Source organism: Homo sapiens, chromosome 16 (genome assembly GCF_000001405.40).
Source record: "Homo sapiens chromosome 16, GRCh38.p14 Primary Assembly".
In the NCBI taxonomy this organism is placed as follows: Eukaryota; Metazoa; Chordata; class Mammalia; order Primates; family Hominidae; genus Homo; species Homo sapiens.
This window is the reverse complement of record NC_000016.10, coordinates 18546989-18565270: the sequence shown is the minus strand read 5'-3', so window position 1 is coordinate 18565270 and position 18282 is coordinate 18546989. Positions and strand designations below refer to the sequence as shown.

Sequence of the window (18282 nt, the reverse complement as noted above, 5' to 3'; positions counted from 1 at the left end):
CTCTCTTGAGTCTTTTTCTCTCTCCGTCTCTTTTTTTTTTTTTTGAGTCAGGTTCTTGCTCTGTCACCCAGGCTGGAGTGCAGTAGTGCCATCATGGCTCACTGCAGCCTTGACCTCCTGAGCTCAAGCAACCTTCCACCTCAGCCTCTCTGGAGTATCTGGGACTACAGGCACACACCACCAAGCCTGGCTAATTTTTAAATTTTTTTGTGGAGACTTGTCTCACTTTGTTGCCCAAGCTGCTTTGGAACTCCTGGCCTCAAGCCATCCTCTTGCCTAGGCCTCCCAAAGTGCTGCGATTACAGGCGTGAGCCACCATGCCCAGCTCTCTCTTCGGTCTTAAAGCAAAGTGTCAAAGACCCAGCCACCACTTCTTAGAAATGACTCGATGTCATACTAGCATAAATCCATCGATAAAAAGATGGAAATGTGGTAACACAGTGATCTTGGGGAATCCTAGTTTTCTTTTCCAATTTCTTTGTTGTTGCAGTGAGCAAGTACTTGTTTCAAGATAGGAATGAAATATTCGGCTCTTTTAGACAGACAAGCACAGGTGCTCAGTTTGGGAGAAGAATTAAAATCCTCTGCACTCTCCATGCTGCCTTGCTAATTCTCGGGGTCCTGTCCTCATCTTCTACTCTTGCCTTCTGCAGGGACCCCACAGCGTGTTTTCCCCGATCTTTTTGTATCACTCTAAATCCAGTATTGGGCCCAGGGAGCACCCCCTCCCCTGCCCCCTTCAGCTGTCCTTCTGCCTGAGTCTTCTGGAAGCTTCAGGACAGAAAGAACCCAAGGATTTGTCATGAAGCTCAGTGTGGCAGGTCTACTGTTTCCATGTAAATCATGTCTGCTTATCTGAGCTGGTTTTGGTGGAAACTGATGGAAATTATGGGGAAGCTAAATCCCTGTCTCTCTGCAAGCCACTCCCCAATCCCACCCCCATGAATTGGCATTGTCACAGTCCTGGTGCTTCATTTCTTTCTATATTTGAAGATGAATTTGAGGGAAGTAGTCAGAAAGTCAAGAAGAACACAGCAGAAATCAATTGAGGTGAGTCCAGAACAAAACTTGGGGATCCCACTTCCTGCTTTTTTTTTTTTTTTTTTTTTTTGAGATGGAGTCTCACTCTGTCGCCCAGGCTGGAGTGCAGTGGCAAGACCTCAGCTCACTGCAACCTGTGGCTCCCTGGTTCAAGTGATTCTCCTGCCTCAGCCTCCTGAAGTAGCTGGGATTAGAGGCATGCGCCACCACACCTAGCTAATTTTTGTATTTTTAGTAGAGACAGGGTTTTGCCATGTTGGCCAAGTTGGTCTCGAACTCCTGACCTCAAATGATCTGCCCACCTCGGACTCCCAACATGTTCATATTACAGTAGTAAGCCACGGCTTCTGGCCCCAATTCCTGCTCTCTAGCTCCGGGAAAACCTATGGCTGCATGCAGAGTCTTAGACAACTTCCTTTTCCTCTCTGGGCCTCAGTTTCCCATTCTGTAAGATGAAAGGTTTCCATAGGCCTACACTTTCTAATTGGTGGCTTTCAATCCTCTGGTGATTTGCATAAAAGGCATCTATTTCAATTGTGGTTATAAATAACAAACCCCAATAAATAGACGAATTATTTAAATGGTTTCTCATTATCACTGAATAGTTGAGAGTCTACTGTATTTGAGTGAAAATGCAGCAAGAGAAGCTGAAATCAGATGCACTCATGATTATGACCCTGAGGTCAATGTGTCATTCCCTTCATTCCCTCCTTGCCCCCATGAAGGTTTGACTACTGTATGGTTTGAACCTGTGCTTCTTAGTTGTTTATTGCTTAAGTTTTAGCCACAACGGCAAATTGCAGCGGGAAATTCAGTCTTACTTTGTCATTTGGAAACAAAATACAAAACCTATCAAAATAAAGCACTAGCTTTTTTTTTTTTGAGACAAAATGGAAGAAATCCTAATATTAGGTTAGAAAAGCAATTTTTTGGTGTTTTTTAAATTTTATTTATTTATTTTTTTGAGACAGAGTCTTGCTCTGTCGCCCAGGCTGGAGTGCAGTGGTGCGATCTCGGCTAACCGCAAGCTCCGCCTCCCAGGTTCACGCCATTCTCCTGCCTCAGCCTCCCGAGTAGCTGGTACTACAGGCGCCCGCCACCACGCCCGGCTAAGTGTTTATATTTTTAGTAGAGACGGGGTTTCACTGTGTTAGCCAGGATGGTCTTGATCTCGTGGCCTCATGATCTGCCAGCCTTGGCCTCCCAAAGTGCTGGGATTACAGGCGTGAGCCACTGTGCCCGGCCTCTTTGGTGTGTATTTTGATGTGGTGACTGGTAGTTAAATTCAGTGTACATATGAATTCACTCTTGGGACAAAATATGCTGGATTTGAGCTTGTTTTCAGGCAAATCATGTTTCATCTTGCAGAGCTAATTCAAAGTATACTGACTGCATGCACTTCTTGCTTAGGGGAAGAAAACTCATCAAAATTTGTTTCTAGGCATATGTTATTAGAGCTAGGATTAAAATAAATCTTACATACTTTCTTTAATATGCTAACATTAACACGTTTCGCTTAAAAAAGTATCGATCATTTATCATGGAAAAATACACCAGCTTACACAAATTCCTAAAGCGTTTTTCGTGTGTGTGTGTGTGTGTGTGTGTGTGCGTGCGTGTGCGTGTGTGTGTGTAGAGATGGGGTTTCGCCATATTGCCCAGGCTGGTCTCGAACTCGTGGGCTCAAGCGATCCACCCACCTCAGCCTCCCAAAGTGCTGGGATTACAGGCGTGAGCCACACACCCGGCCCTAAAGCTTTTTGTGAGATTATATATTTTACCTGCGAAATATATGGGTCAGAAAGATTTGAGAAAGTTGTTAGATAATTCCACCAACAAAATCTCCCGTCCTTTCCAGCTGTGATGGTGAATTCTAAAGTAGAATTCATCTTTGGAGCTTCTCCCTGTAGGCATGCACCTTGCGTTGCACCTGCCAGATGTCGCGCGGAGTCCTCCAGGCCTCTAGAAGGCAGAGATGGTCTCGTTTCCTTGCCGAGCATGCGCCTTAGTTCTCTCTTCTGGGGCTGTGAACGTGGCGTCGAAGCGCGCGTGCGCGGCGGCTCTGGCGGCGGCGGTGGGGCGGGGCCTGGGCTGTCAGCCGGCCTAGGAGGAGGAAGGAGCCTGCGGCGTGCAGTGTGAGGGGCGGGACCCGGCTGCCGGCGGTGGGTCTAGCTGGGGGAGGTCGGGCCATGCTGGTGGGCCAGGGCGCGGGGCTGCTGGGGCCCGCGGTGGTCACCGCCGCGGTGGTGCTGCTGCTGAGCGGCGTGGGGCCGGCGCACGGCTCGGAGGACATCGTGGTGGGCTGCGGTGGCTTCGTCAAGTCGGACGTGGAGATCAACTACTCGCTCATCGAGGTGAGCGCCCGCCCCGCCGCCCGGCGCCGAGTCGCCGGGCCGGTGGTTCAGCCTCTCTGGGCCGCGCTGGCCTCGTCTCTGACACCGGGCGGTGTGGAGTCCTTGGAGCCCTTACCTCTTCCGAGGCTATGCTGTCCGCGGGCTCCCTGCAGCCCCTCCCCAGTCGCGCTGGAGGGGAGGTTCTTATCATGGGGTCGTCTAAGGACTGAGGGGTGCCAGACCTCAGGTTCTTCAAAACCCCGACTCCAGATCCGCGGAACACAGACCCCAGATCCTCAAAACCCAGACCCTAAATTCCCTGGAGCCCAGACTCCATTTCTTTAAAACTTAGACCTGAGATCTCCTCGAATCAGACCCCCTGAAACTCAGATTTCCCCAAACCCACATTCCAGAACCTAGAGACCACATGTCTTATCCCCCAAACTCCACAGCCCAGAACCCCCCGAAGTTCTAATCCACTGCTCCTCCAAACCCCGCGGCATGATTTTAAAGAGCATCAATTCCCATCCCATAGATTCTGACCTAGTAGATCAGTATTGGCAACCCTAGGGCCGGAAAGCTATTTTTTATTTCTCCGGCTCCCCTCCACTTCTGAAAATGGAGAGTTGCCAGCTGCCCTGATTGCCTTAATGAGTAGTTAATGGAATTACCCTAGAGATTTGTAAAGGTTTTTTTTTTTTTTTTTTTTTTTTTTTTTTTTTTAATTAAGTTGTAAAGTCCTGTTAAATGTTTATCAGCCCGGTGGGATTATGACCCAGAAAGGTTCCCGTAAAGAGGAAAGGGATGGATGGAGGTAGGGGCAGAATGTCATTTGTCCCGGTAGATGGGAGGGGACCAGAGCAAGGCCTGGGCCTCATTTTTGGGCGGGGATTTATGGTGGGGTAGGACAAGGAAGAGGAAAAGAGCGGGTGCCTCGGAGGTAATTTAGGAGAAAACGAAGGAAGAGGCTGGGAAATGCCAAAGAGAGGGATTGGGGAATAAGACCCCAAAGATCGTCTGAAAGCACCTTTGAGCTGTTCCAGGGCTGGCAGTGAAGGGTGAAGCTCTGTGTTCTGCAAAGCGGGCTGCTGAGGATTGGGGGAGGGGTAGGGAGTCAGTTCCACACCCCATCAGCTCTGCGACCTGCCCTTGCTCTAGGTTTCAGTTTTTGTACCTATAGGATGGTGTTGGGAGAGAAACAGTGGAACCCAGCAGATACATTTCTTTAACAAGCGGATCCGTGATCTTCTTCAAGGCCCCGTTGTTTGCTGCTTTTTCAGGCTGAAGAGGTCAGAGGTCAGGCATTGAATGAATACCCACTGGCAGCGGCAGGGCTCCTAGGATTTCCTGGGTACATGTTTCTGGGTGCCCATGCCACCTCCTAGGTCTGCACTGGGGACAGGACACGTTCAGGGTGGTATGGCTGTAGACGGCACAGGGCATTTCAGAAGCTGAAATGCAAGAGGCCAGTAAGGCCTCTTGCAACTTGTAGTTTCCAGGGGTTCTGGAAGGAAGGAAAAGACAGGCACCCCCCTCCACCCTCACCCTCATACTAATAGTGACCTTGAGAGCAGAGAACAGGTTTTGTGACCCATTTCAAAGTGTGTTCCTTAAGCCCAAGGGCTGCCTGTCCAGATGGTGTGGGACACTCATTCTTTCGTAAGTAATTCAGATTCTGAAATCAGACATTTCATACTGGCCATCTTGATGTAGATTACATTGCCATCCTGTGTCCTGATTGTACTTTATGAAAGATGTAGAAATAATCATGATATTTCACGGTTATTTCTTGATTGTGTTTTTTGTGTTCCTATGCAACTGCCGCCATTCTTCTCTAGCTTTCTCCCATCCTGAGTGTTTTTACATCGTGTTCATTGAGTCAACAACTATTTACTGAGCCCCGGCACATACTGAAGCCTTGTCCCCAGTGTGGATATAGCAGTACAGTGAACAGAACAGACAAAACTCCATACTCTCATGAGACTGACATTTTGTTCTCTAACAGGGACCTTACTGTTAAAAAAAAAAAATTATACTGGTTGCTAATACTTTAACAATCAGCAGGTTTCACATTAAAAACTGGGTTCTTTATTTCTCTGGAAAACCAGCCGATCTTTAGGCTGCCACCCTTGGCTTGGGTTTTGTAGTGATCTGAATCCTTTTGGATGAATGTCCCTTGATGTTGCCTCCCTAACCGGTCTAGGCTGGTGAATTTCCAGTCCCTGCACTAAATGCATGCATCTGAATCTCTTTGTCACCTGTAGCAAATTCACTGAGTACCTAGAGTAAGCAAGACACTGTCTCAGGCACTGGGGAATGAAGTTGTGGTCACTGACCTCAGAGAACTTTACATACAGGCTTAACCTTATTTCACACGAGTCCTTTCCCAAATGTTCAAATGTTCGTTTTATGAGTTAGTCACTTTGTACATCTTCTTAGCTGGTAAGATTCGACTGTTTCATTGCGGCTCGTGTCATGGTTTGTTTCATGGTCATAGAGCATTAACATTTTGGAGGTGAGGCTTTTAGGTGCATCAGACCCAACTGCTTCCTTTTACAGACATGGAAACTGAGCCTCAGAGTGGTTGAGCTGTGCAGGTACATTTAGGAAATTTTCCTTGAGCCCAGTATGTTCCCTACGTATTACACTGTGTTGCCTTTTTCTTCAGAGAGAGATATTAAACAGTAATACAAACTGCTTTTTCCATTTTACTTATTTTATTTTGTTTTATTTTGAGGCAGGGTCTCACACTGTTGCTCAGGCTGGAGTATAGTGGCACCATCATAGCTCACCAAAGCCTCTGACTCCTGGCCTCAAGCAGTCCTCCTGCCTCGGCCTCCTGAGTAGCTGAGGCTACAGGCACGTGCCATCATGCCTAGCTAATTTTTTTTCTAGTAGGGATGAGGTGTGGCTGTGTTGTCCAGGCTGGTCTCCTGGGCTCAGGTGATCCTCCTTCTTTGGCCTCCCAAAGTGCTGGGATTACAGGCATGAGCCACCATGCCTGGCCGCAAACTGATTTTTCTTTGAATCCATATTCTGTAGCAGGTGCTTAATATGCATTGATGTGAATCTGTACAACCACATGAAAAGGAGCGGCTCTGTGTCTACACCTGAAGAAACCGAACACGAGCTTGCCCAAGGCCACACAACACGTGGAAGACTCAGATGGCATTTGGGCATCTTACTGGGTTAACACTTCGTGTCTGGTAATGCTCAGAATGTAAGAGTTTTAGAGAGTCCTTGAAGAGAGGACAGATATTAAATGTCTTTTTAGTCTCTTTTTCTTCAGAGAATGAAAGTAATGAGAAAATTAAGTTTCTAGATGAATGTTGCTCCAAGTATTTGAAATTATTCAGAGTTAGTAAGGAAGATTTCTGGCCCTCATTCCAGACCTTTAGTTGAGAAATAGAGGTGGGCCCCAGGAATTTGCAATTTATTTTACTTTATTTTTTTTTATTATTATTTTTGAGACGGAGTCTTGCTCTGTCTCCCAGGCTGGAGTGCTGTGGCATGATCTTGGCTCACTGCAACCTCCGCCTCCTGAGTTCAAACAATTTTCCTGCCTCAGCCTCCCAAGTACCTGGGACTACCGGTGCCTGCCACCATGCCTGGGTAACTTTTTTTGTATTTTTAGTAGGGACAGGGTTTCACCTTGTTGGCCAGGCTGGTCTCAAATTCCTGACCTTAAGTGATCTGCCCACCTCAGCCTCCTGAAGTGCTGGGAGTACTGGCATGAGCCACCGTGCCCAGCCAGGAATTTGCATGTTAATAAGCACCTTACTAATGGCAAAGTTTGCAAATTTGTTTTAGACCCGGAAACTTACACGAGCAACCTAGAGACAGCCACTAAAATAAACAGGAAAGCATTGAAAAATAAGGCATTGTAATAGGCTGTAGGTGGTTTCTAATCTGAAAAACATTGAGTCACATGATTTGGGAGAGAGTTTGTTGATTTCCCTCTGTCCCCAGTAATGCCCCGTGTTAAAAGCTGGTATATAGTAGGTCCTCAGTGAATGTATACTGACTGAGTGCATTCAGGTGTAACATGTGTAGTTAATTCCCAAAGGCAATGTTATGATTTCTGTTTTCCTTCCTTCCTTTCCAGATAAAGCTGTACACCAAGCATGGGACTTTGAAATACCAGACAGACTGTGCCCCTAATAATGGTTACTTTATGATCCCTTTGTATGATAAGGTAAGAGGGGACTGCTTGTCACTTATGATGGGAAGTCACTAGTGTGCCTCACCAGGCTGCATTAACCATGCCCTTTCCTACACTAGCAAATGCTCATCTGTTTTGTAAATTATTAGTGGAATATGATAATCCTAGTCACATTTGGAGGGAGACAACTTACAAACTGCCTTGACGAATACAGTGGCTCTCTCTGTGTTTAGGGCCATTTGGCAATGTCTAGAGACGTTTTTGTTGTGACATCTGTGGCTGTGCGCTACAGTCACCCAGTGAGTAGTGGCCAGGCGTGGAGCTAAATGCGCTACAGTGCTGCCTACGACAGCCCAGATGTCAGTAGTGCCAGGGCTGAGAAACCCTGATTTCATGGAACCCGTTACTTGCAAGCAGCTTAAAGTATTGTTAAAACAATTGTACAAGTAATACATGAATTCATGAACTTTGTGAAAAAGAAAGTCAAGGTCTTTAGAAGTATGTGAAATAAATTTGTACCCTTTTCCCTCCAATTTTACCTCCCTCTGTAGTGATAACCTCTGATAATCTGATAAAGGTTTTTTTTGTTGTTTTTTTTTTCTTCTTTTGAGATGGAGTCTCGCTCTGTCGCCCAGGCTGGAGTGCAGTGGTGTGATCTTGCCTCACTCCAACCTCCACCCCCCAGGTTCAAGCCATTTTCCTTCCTAGGCCTCCCGAATAGCTGGGATTACAGGCACCTGCCACTACACCCAGCTAATGTTTTGTATTTTTAATAGTGACGGGGTTTTGCCATGTTGGCCAGGCTGGTCTCGAACTCCTGACCTCAAGTGAACCACCTGCCTCAGCCTCCCAAAGTGCTGGGATTACAGGTGTGAGCCGATGTTTCCGGCCCTCTTATAAAATTTTGATGGGCATCCTAACAGATTGCTTTCTATTTATAGTTATTCAGGTATCCACGGGTACACATGCATATGTATACATGGAAATACACACAAGCACACATGCACATCGATATGTATCCACAAACACCTCTATACAATCCCATCCTCCCACCTATAAACCTTTTATTTGGAAATACAGATTCATAGGAAGTTGCAAAAATAGTCAATACACATAGTTTTGATTTTGATATATTTTTTAATACAAATGAAATCAAACAATAGGATTTATTCTGCAGTTTCATTTTTTCCCCTGTGTTAATGCTTTCAATACCAGAGGGACATTTGGTTTTTTCCTCTTGCATGCTTTCAACATTAGCATAGATAGATCTACTGACTTTTTTTTTTTTTTTTGAGACAGAGTCTCACTCTGTCAGCCAGGCTGGAGTGCAGTGGCGCGATCTCGGCTCACTGCAACCTCTGCCTCCTGGGTTTCTGCCTCAGCCTCCCAAGTAGCTGGGATTACAGGCACCCACCACCATGCCCAGCTAACTTTTTTTGTATTTTTAGTAGAGATGGTGTTTCACCATGTTGGCCAGGCTGGTTTTGAACTCCTGACCTCAGGTGATCCGCCCACCTCAGCCTCCCAGAGTGCTGGGATTACAGGCATGAGCCACCATGCTCAGCCTACTGACTTCTTTTTAATCGCTGCATAGTGTGTCAGAGTCAAACCCAAACTGTAATTTATTTAACTACTTGGACATATAGACTTTCCCCAATTTTAAAATAATAGTAATTTTAACATAACACACCAGGAAATATTCTTGAACTTAACTCTTCATCCAGAATGCATAGGACTGATTTCTAGAGATGGACTAGCTGGGTCTGTCCTGAAATCTATTTAATTAATTTTTAAATAGTATCAGTATCAGTCTCAAGAAACCAGGAGGCTGGACGTGGTAGCTCATGCCTGTAATCCTAGCACTTTGGGAGGTTGAGGCAGGTGGATCGCCTGAGCTCAGGAGTGTGAGACCAGCCTGGGCAACATGGTGCAACCCCGTCTCTACTAAAATACAAAAAAATTAGCCGGGTGTCACGTGGATGCCTGTAGTCCCAGCTACTTGGGAGGCTGAGGCAGGAGAATCGCTTGAACCCAGGAGACGGAGGTTGCAGTGAGCCAAGATCGCACCACTTCACTCCAGCCTGGGCAACAGAGCGAGGCTCCATCTCAAAAAAAAAAACTAAAACAGAAACAAAGAAACCAGGGTTGATAAGTAAAATCTAGTTTTATTTATTGAATTAATGAGTTAATGTATTGTTTAGAGACAGGATCTCCCTCCGCTGCCCATGCTGGAGTGCAGGGGCACAATTATGGTTCACTGCAGCACTGACCTCCTGGGCTCAAGTGATCTTCCTGCCTCTTCCTCCTAAGTAGCTAAGACTGTAGGCGCCTGCCACCACACCCAGCTGATTTTTTAAGAACATTTTTTGTACAGATGGGGTCTTGCTATGTTGCTTAGGCTGGTCTTGAACTCCTGGCCTCAAGTGACCCTCCTGCCTTGGCCTCCCACAGTGTTGGGATTATAGGTGTGAGGTACTGTGCCTGGCCAAATCTAGTTTTAGGGGGTGACTTTAGTTCCTGAAGATACATGCTAACTTGTGCAACTGTAGGCATGTGAGGGCTTAATGGGAGACTCAATTAATAGAATTATAGTATGTTTAGTATTAAAAGACAGTGAGTGGCTGAACCTAGTGTCTTTAGAACTCATGAATGGGCTTCAGCACTGTCTTCTGATTGTTTAGATGAAAACTTCTGGTGTTCAGCTTCAGCTTGTAGCTTCTGAAGAGAATCAGTGCTCAGTACCATGTAGAAGAACAAGGCTTACTCTTAGAATTTCATTTCCGGTGTAAAAAAATTTTAGATTAAATGATAACACTAAACTAAATTTAGCCAGAGTCACAATTCTCATTTCTTGAAATTACATTTTCTTTTTTTCCTTTTAGGGGGATTTCATTCTGAAGATTGAGCCTCCCCTAGGGTGGAGTTTTGGTAAGTTAACTGAATCACTAGACATTCTTTGTAAAAGATTAGATGATATGCCGAATATTAATTTAGGCTAGCAGAGTGCATAAACTATTAAAATATTAAGGATCATTTCCAGTATGGAAGAGGGTTTGTATTCCTCCCCTCCTTGCCCCCATCACTCTGGTTTAGTTCGGATTTACCTTAATCTACCTTAAGACTTTCTGTCACCTTTGAAAAATAGACATCTTTTCTTCTACCTTTCTGGAAACTCTTCCCTTGCAGTTTCACTCATTACGTGGCCGTGGAACAGTATAGAAATCAAGAGTGGGGACTTGGTTCCCGTCCCAGGATGGCTTCTTTTTTAGCCCTCTCAGTTTTTTAATTTTTTATGGAATTAATTGAAACATTTAAAGATTGTGAGATTTGTCATAAAAATCCAGATTTATGTCCCATGAGATGAGAAGACTGTCAGCCTTATACCTTACCAGTTAAATAACTTTGGGCAAGTTACTTCCCCCGTGTCAGCCTGGCTCCTCACTGTCGAGCAAGGGTAGATATAGTCCCTGCCCCACTGGGTACTTGGAGGATTAATAAACCAATACTGAGTGTTCAGAGGGGCTGGCACGTAATTAGCAAGTACTCAGTATTCAGAAACAGCCCTTCTGCACACATCCCAACAAAAGCTCCAAACTTTCCTCATAGAACTAACTGCCTTCAAGCATAGCTGGGGAGTTGGGGATGGGGTTGAGATCAGAAGAGAGGGTCTGTTTTGATGTAGTTTACATTTTTGAAGAGGAGAGACTCTTGATGTTTCAGTAGAGCAGGTGTGGGTGACCCCAGTCCATGGCTTGGGGAGAGGAGTAGGGATCACCGTTGTTGATATCAGGCTTGCTCGTGCATTAGACAAGGAAGAATTTAGCACCTGCCATCGCCAAGGCTAAAATGAGGCTCAGGCAGCTGACAGCTAATTTGGCTCTGTGAGAGCAGCTCTTTTATCAGTTTATAGTCAGGGGTAGGGTGGGGGGTGCCTGGCTGGTACGTTCCAGAAAGCTGGAGAGGAATGCAGCCCTGCTCATGGCCAAAGCAGAAGTCCAGATTGGTGGCCTGGAGGAGTGTTGTGTTTGCCACCCCCCACGCTACCCCCAACTGGTGCTGTTGATAAGCTTTTTAATTGAATTATACTTTCAGAAAAGTGCCTTGGATGAATTTTCACTAAGTGAACACACCCATGTATCCACCATCCAGATGATAAGATAGCACTTCACCAGCACCCCAGAAGTCCCCATCCTGGGTGCTCATTAGCCATCCCGCCCCACCCTCCAGGTGACCACCACCCTGACCTTCTACAAATTAGAGATCCATTTGGTCTGTTTTGAACTTTATACAAATGCTATCATGCAGGGAACTTTTTAATATCCAGTTTCTTTCACTCAACATTATGAACTTTATCTCTATCATTTGTAGCTTTAGTTCATTCTCTTTGCTGTTGAGAATTCTGATGCATAAATATAAAATTATTTATATTTTATAAAATATTTATATTTTATTTTATTTTTTTCTTTTTTTTGAGACTGAGTCTCGCTCTGTTGCCCAGGCTGGAGTGTGATCTCAGTTCACTGCAACTTCGGCCCGGGTTCAAGCAATTCTTGTGCCTCAGCTTCCTCAGTAGATGAGATTACAGTTGTGCACCACCACACCCAGCTAATTTTTGTATTTTTAGTAGAGATGGGGTTTCATCATGTTGACCCAGGCTGGTCTCGAACTCCTGACCTCAAGTGATCTGCCCGCTTTGGCCTCCCAAAGTGTGGGGATTATAGGCAAGAGCCACCACGCCTGGCCTATATTTATATTTTATATTCATATTTTGTATCAGTGATCTCTTCTACTGTTGATGGCCATTTGAGTTGCTTACCGATTTTGGCCACTAAGAGCAGTGCTCCTGTGAACATTCTTGTATGTATATTTTGATACATGTGTCTGCATTTTTGCTGAGTGTATCACAGGAGTAAAGTCGCTGAGCCATAGAGCTGATACATGCTCAGCTTTAGGTGTTTGCAAACATCCAAAGTGGATGCACCAGTTTGTGTTCTCCCAGCAGTGTACAAGGGTTTCCATTGCTCCACATCCTAACCTACACTTGGTATCGTCAGTTTTTTTTAATTTTAGCCCTTCTGGTGGGGGTGTGGTATTATCTCACTGTGGCCTTGATTTACATTCCACTGATGGCCAATGAGGTTGCACACTTTTTCGTATGTTTATGTTTGTTTGCCATGGGCTAGCTATTTTTGTAAGATTCCTGTTCAAGTCTTTTGCCCATTTTTTATTGGAGTCTTTGTGTGTGTGTGTGTGTGTGTGTGTGTGCATGTACGCGTGCAAGCACGTGTGTAATTCATCTTAACTGAAAATCTCATCTCATGGTTTTCCATTTTTTTCTCTACTCATTACTCCATATTCTTCCTAACCTTTCAAAAACTCAACCTTAACCCCTATTATGATGAACTCTTCAGTTAAAAAATGGAGTTAATTGCTGATATTGAAAAATCAAGAGATGGTATATAAAATCCAGATTTCCAGTTTTTCGGAGAAGTTGGAAGCTCTGGCAAAGCATGGTAGTGGTTGGCAGACTTGAGTGGCGGTTGTCTCCTTTCAATTTGCCACAGTCCCCCTGAGGATGCTCCGCTCACTTCGAACCCATGAGGCCCCTGTGGCCCTGGAGTTTGTGTTCCTGGTTTAACATGGCTGAGCTCATGTCCTTGGTCAGAGAACAGATCCAGAGCCAGACTTTTAGGGTTGAACTGGGGCTCTGTCACTCAGAAGCTCTGTGATCTTGGGAGCTCCTTTAACCTTTCTGTGCCTTAATTTACCCCTCAGTAAATTGCAGCTATTACTGCCTGTCTCTTAAGATAATTGTGAGGATTAAAGGCACTCAGCTCAGTGCCTGGTCGGTGATGAGCATTCAGGAAATAAAATTATTTGGTGCTCACTGAATTTTCCCTGGAACTCTGAGATATAACTTAGCTGAAAGGCGTTGTAAAATTATTTTATACTCTAAACACGAATTCCCTCTGGGGCAGGAAACCAGGAGGCTAGGGGGATAGGGGTGAGAGGGAGACTTTTCCCAGAATACTTTTTTGTACCTTTGGATTTGGAAACACACGAGTGTATTAAGTGTTCAAAAGTAAAATGAAACCTGAATAATAAAAATACGTTCTACTTAGGTTCACTGTACCCCAAAACTAAGCTTGCCTTTGTGTCTTGTGCCCCGGTTTCCTCCCCTGCTTCGTTCCTCAGAGCCGACGACCGTGGAGCTCCATGTGGATGGAGTCAGTGACATCTGCACAAAGGGTGGGGACATCAACTTTGTCTTCACTGGGTTCTCTGTGAATGGCAAGGTTTGTCTTTGGAACTTGATTATTTTTCCTGTTCACTCTATAATGTATACTAAATCCTTTTTTAAAAAAATGCAGGATATTTTAACCTGGGGACTTTGATCCCACAAGGGACCCATGGATAAGTGGCAAGTGAGCCTGTGAACTCTGTACTTCATCCGTGTAGAACGCAGCAGGTGTATTTAGGAGTGAGATTGAGGTTGCTGGTCATCCCCTCTGCTCCCAGAGCATAGGCTGTTGGTGTTTTTATTTTTTTATTTTTTATTTTGAGACAGGGTCTTGCTCTATTGCCCAGGCTGGAGTGCAGTGGTGCAATCTTGACTCACTGCAGCCTCCACCTCCCAGGTTCAAGTGATTCTCCTGCCTCACCCTCCCGCTCCTTCACCCTCCCGAGTAGCTAGGATTACAAGTGTGTGCCACCATGCCTGGCTAATTTTTGTATTTTCAGTAGAGATGGGCTTTTGCTGTGTTGGCCAGGCTGGTCTCAAACTCCTGACCTCAGGTGATCCGCCTGCCTCCACCTCCCATAGTGCTGGGATTACAGGTGTACGCTGTGCACCCAGCCGCTGTTAGCGTTTATGTCAGGGATGGCCTTTTACAGGGATGCCGAATTGGAAGGACGCACTCTCTAAGCCTTGTGGCATCTTGCTGTCCCTGTGGGTGAATTGAAGTCAGCTTCTCCCAGAGAGAGCGTGCATCTGCTTCCGACACTTACCTAGGAGGATTCCTATTATTTAAGTTCTGAGATTTTTTTGGACCGCCACGGTGGTGTGAATTTAGAGTCCTAACGGGTGTGTGCCCAGCTCCCGCGATTCAGATTCTCAGGGGAGAGTCATTTCTCTTCCACCCGCCCTGTGCCTGAGGTTGAGATGTGCTTCCTTCCTTCCTGTCCTTCTCTTCATGATGGACTTCTTTCTCCTCTACCTTTGCGGTGACGGGGAGGCCCTTCCATCCCAGCTGTATGTGTGGGCTTCTTGTTAGAGATGGGGATCTTGGGTAGTTTTTTCTTTATCGATGGTTTGCAAAATAATGGTGAATCTTTTTTTATTTTTATTTTTATTTATTTATTTTTTTGAGACAGAGTCTCGCTCTGTGGCCTAAGCTGGAGTGCAGTAGCGCAGTCTCTCTCACCACAACCTCCACCTCCTGGGTTCGAGCAATTCTCCTGCCTCAGCCTCCCCAGTAGCTGGGATTACAGGCGTGTGCCACCTGACCCAGCTAATTTTTATATTTTTATTTTTATGTACATTTACTTTTTTTTTTTTTTTTTTTTTTTTTTTTTAAGATGGAGTCTCCCTCTGTCGCCCAGGCTGGAGTGCAGTGGCGCGATTGCAGCTTACTGCAACCTCCGCCTCCTGGGTTCAAGTGATTCTCCTGCCTCAGCCTCAGGAGTAGCTGGGATTACAAGCATGTGCCATGACGCCCAGCTAATTTTTGTATTTTTAGTAGAGACAGGGTTTCACCATGTTGGCCAGGCTGGTCTCAAACTCCTGACCTCAAGTGGTCTGCCTGCCTCAGCCTCCCAAAGTGCTGGGATTACAGGCGTGAACCACCACACCCACCCAGACCAATAATGGTGAATCTATAACTGATGATGTCTTAGATTCATTGAAATAGAGTCTTATTTTACTGTTACTGTTCCCTCTCCTACCTCATCCCCAGGAAACATATCCATGATTTATAGCATCTTTTCAATGGGATTCTTGACCCAAAGAGGGTTCCTGGGCTCCACCTGGGAGTTGTAAGCAGGACTGCCAGTGCTTTGAGAGGAGGGTGCTTTGCTGGGTGGGCCCTAACTTTCTTCTCCATGGCAGGTCCTCAGCAAAGGGCAGCCCCTGGGTCCTGCGGGAGTTCAGGTGTCTCTGAGAAACACTGGGACCGAAGCAAAGATCCAGTCCACAGTTACACAGCCTGGCGGAAAGTGAGTAGCGTCCTGTCTCTTAGTGTTGCCTTAGAGCCGGGCTCTGACAGGGGTCATGGAGCTGGGTTTGGGAGTTTGGATTCAGGGAGTTCTGGGTTCAGATCCTGATTCAGCCTCTTAACTTTGGGTGAGTTCATGCCCGTCAGAGTGCTGAGTTCCCCACATGTGAAATGGAATCCATTTGACCCATCTTGCCTAGCATTGATGAGATGATTAAATATGAGTTCATACTGGCCAGGCATATTGGCTTGCGCCTATAATGCCAGCACTTTGGGAGGCCAGGATGGGAGGATCACTTGAGTTCAGGAGTTCGAGACCAGCCTGGACAACATAGGGAGACTCAATCTCCACAAATAATTTAAAAAATTATATCAAGTAGAGTCCCACGGGGGAAGAAAATTAGCTGGGTGTGGTGGCATGCTTCTGTGGTCGCAGCTACTCGGGAGGCTGAGGCGGGAGGATTGCTTGAGCCTGGAAGGTTGAGGCTGCGGTGAGCCGTGATCATGTGCCACTGTGCTCCAGCCTCGGCAGCAGAGCAAGACCCTGTCTGAAACAAACAAAAAAAGAGTTAATACCCATAAAGCACCTGCTTCAAGGCCTGGGGCTTAGTGGGTCTTCATTTAGCAGCTCAGCCTGGCTCTGGAGCCTGCCAGCCCGGGCTTGAATCCCAGCTCCCCCATTTGCTGGCTGGTTGACCTAGGGCAAGTTCCTTAACCCCTCTGTGCCTCAGTTTCCTCTTTTGTAAATGAAGATAATTGTGGAACCTATCTCCTAAGGTACTGGAAAGATGAAATTAATATTATTACTTCAAGCTGCCTGGCATATTAGCTCAAACAGGTTAGCTCAGTTATGATTAGAAAAAATCATTATCATTATTATATCAAAACTGCTTTGTAGTTGGAGCAGATGCCTAGCTGACCTTGCTGAGTCAGATTTAAAGCATTTATTTAATGGATGTATATAGTTGAGTTGTAAATGTTAACAGATATGCCAAGATTAATACCAGAATAGTTCAAACTGATAATTCCGAAAGCGTTCAAATCATTACTAACTCCGTTAATATACAAACTGAGTAAATTGCAAAATAGAAGTTTATAATGAGTCTGTCAGTAAGTTATTCAATTTTAAAGTTATTATTGTTGAAACTAGTTTTCATTTTTGAAATAACATTTACTTCTGCTTGACTGGTGCCTCTCCAGCCCTGGTGTGTAGCAGGAATATGGAGCTGTAATTTTTTTTCTGGGCTAGTAATTTGGTGTTGACCTTACTAGAAAAAAATAGTGTCTTGAGCCTTCTGAATACCTTTCATCTGCACTAACTGAAACAATGAAACATGTAGCACTGGGCTATTATGAAAATGAAATAGAAGCTCAATCTTACCAATACTTGTAGTAATGTGATTTCCAAGCCCTATCCAGTTATTGCAGGCAAGATTTGATACAATAAAATACCACAGAAGAAGAAATCAAATGCGTTTTCTAGTTCATTTCACCGGACTTAGCCTTCTCATTTGTCAGTTGCCTTACAAATTTGAAGGGATAAACATGTTAGTATACTGGCAGCAGCATTTCCAGCTTTAGCTCGGCTCACTCTGGTGTTAGTCTGTCTATGGCTAGTAGAGTAATTTTCATCAGCTGCTGGTTTCTTATCTCAGTTGCTTTGTGCAAAAACCCAGAATGACTTATCTGTGTTTCTCTAAAGCCTTTTTTCTGGGATTCAAAGCTTGTCATAGTTTACCCTGCCCTGTGTCATTTGCATCATCTTGGGTCAGCGTCCCCCTCAGCCTGTGCATCTGTTCTGTTCTTTTTCACCCCACTTCTCCCTTCCCATGTGTTTCCTTGGACACTTCTGTCCCCTTCTCCTTGTCAGTTCATGCCTGTCACCTCTGTCAAACACAGTCGAATGTTCTGTGACTGGTCCCTGCTGTGCTACAAGGATTGGTTTTATGCCAGAAATCCTTGAGATTAAGGGAGACGTAAGCACTCCTCTTTCCGATCAGCACATGGAGCACCCCTCTTGACACACAGTAAGTGCTCAATAAGCGCTCTTTTATGCAGATTTGTACAGTGAAGGATTGAATTTCATTCATGCTCATTTAACAAGCTAATGGAAGTTTGCGATAATTCCAACATTGTTTTCTTGTGCTGCCAACATTAGTCATAGAATTAGAAATACTTGGGTTGTTTGGAGAAAGTTAAATGGTTATTTTTTATGTCTTAGGTTTGCATTTTTTAAAGTTCTGCCTGGAGATTATGAAATCCTCGCAACTCATCCAACCTGGGCGTTGAAAGAGGTGAGTGACAGCTACGTCTATAGCCATGCCAATAATATGCTGGTCTTGGGACAAATGTAGGGCTTTTCAATTTAGGATATGAAAAGAATTTATGGTTCCTCCAGGACTAGATGAAGAACCAATGGTGCTGTTGTTTAGTTTGGTAGTTATTTATAAGGTGTAACTCCTCACTGTAGCAGATGTTGCTTGTGTTAGTTTCAGTTTTAGGTGACAGTGTTGTCTTCCTGCTGTGAAATAGA

The 18282-nt window shown here is 45.2% G+C and overlaps 1 protein-coding gene across 3 annotated transcripts in view; it reads left to right on the top strand.

Moving 5' to 3' along the window:
* Positions 1-3158: 3158 nt before the first annotated feature.
* The window catches only part of NOMO2 (NODAL modulator 2), a 62186-nt gene continuing 47062 nt past the window's right edge, over positions 3159-18282 (top strand). For 2 of the 3 annotated variants that reach the window (NM_173614.4, XM_017023156.3), the window contains exons 1-6: positions 3174-3395; positions 7480-7569; positions 10419-10464; positions 13732-13832; positions 15644-15750; positions 17971-18043. In NM_173614.4, coding sequence (NP_775885.1) covers positions 3231-3395; positions 7480-7569; positions 10419-10464; positions 13732-13832; positions 15644-15750; positions 17971-18043 — 582 coding nt within the window. In that variant the 5' untranslated portion in view covers positions 3174-3230. Of the gene's footprint in view, positions 3396-7479; positions 7570-10418; positions 10465-13731; positions 13833-15643; positions 15751-17970; positions 18044-18282 lie in introns of all 3 variants that reach the window. The other variant, NM_001004060.2, reaches the window with a different exon arrangement.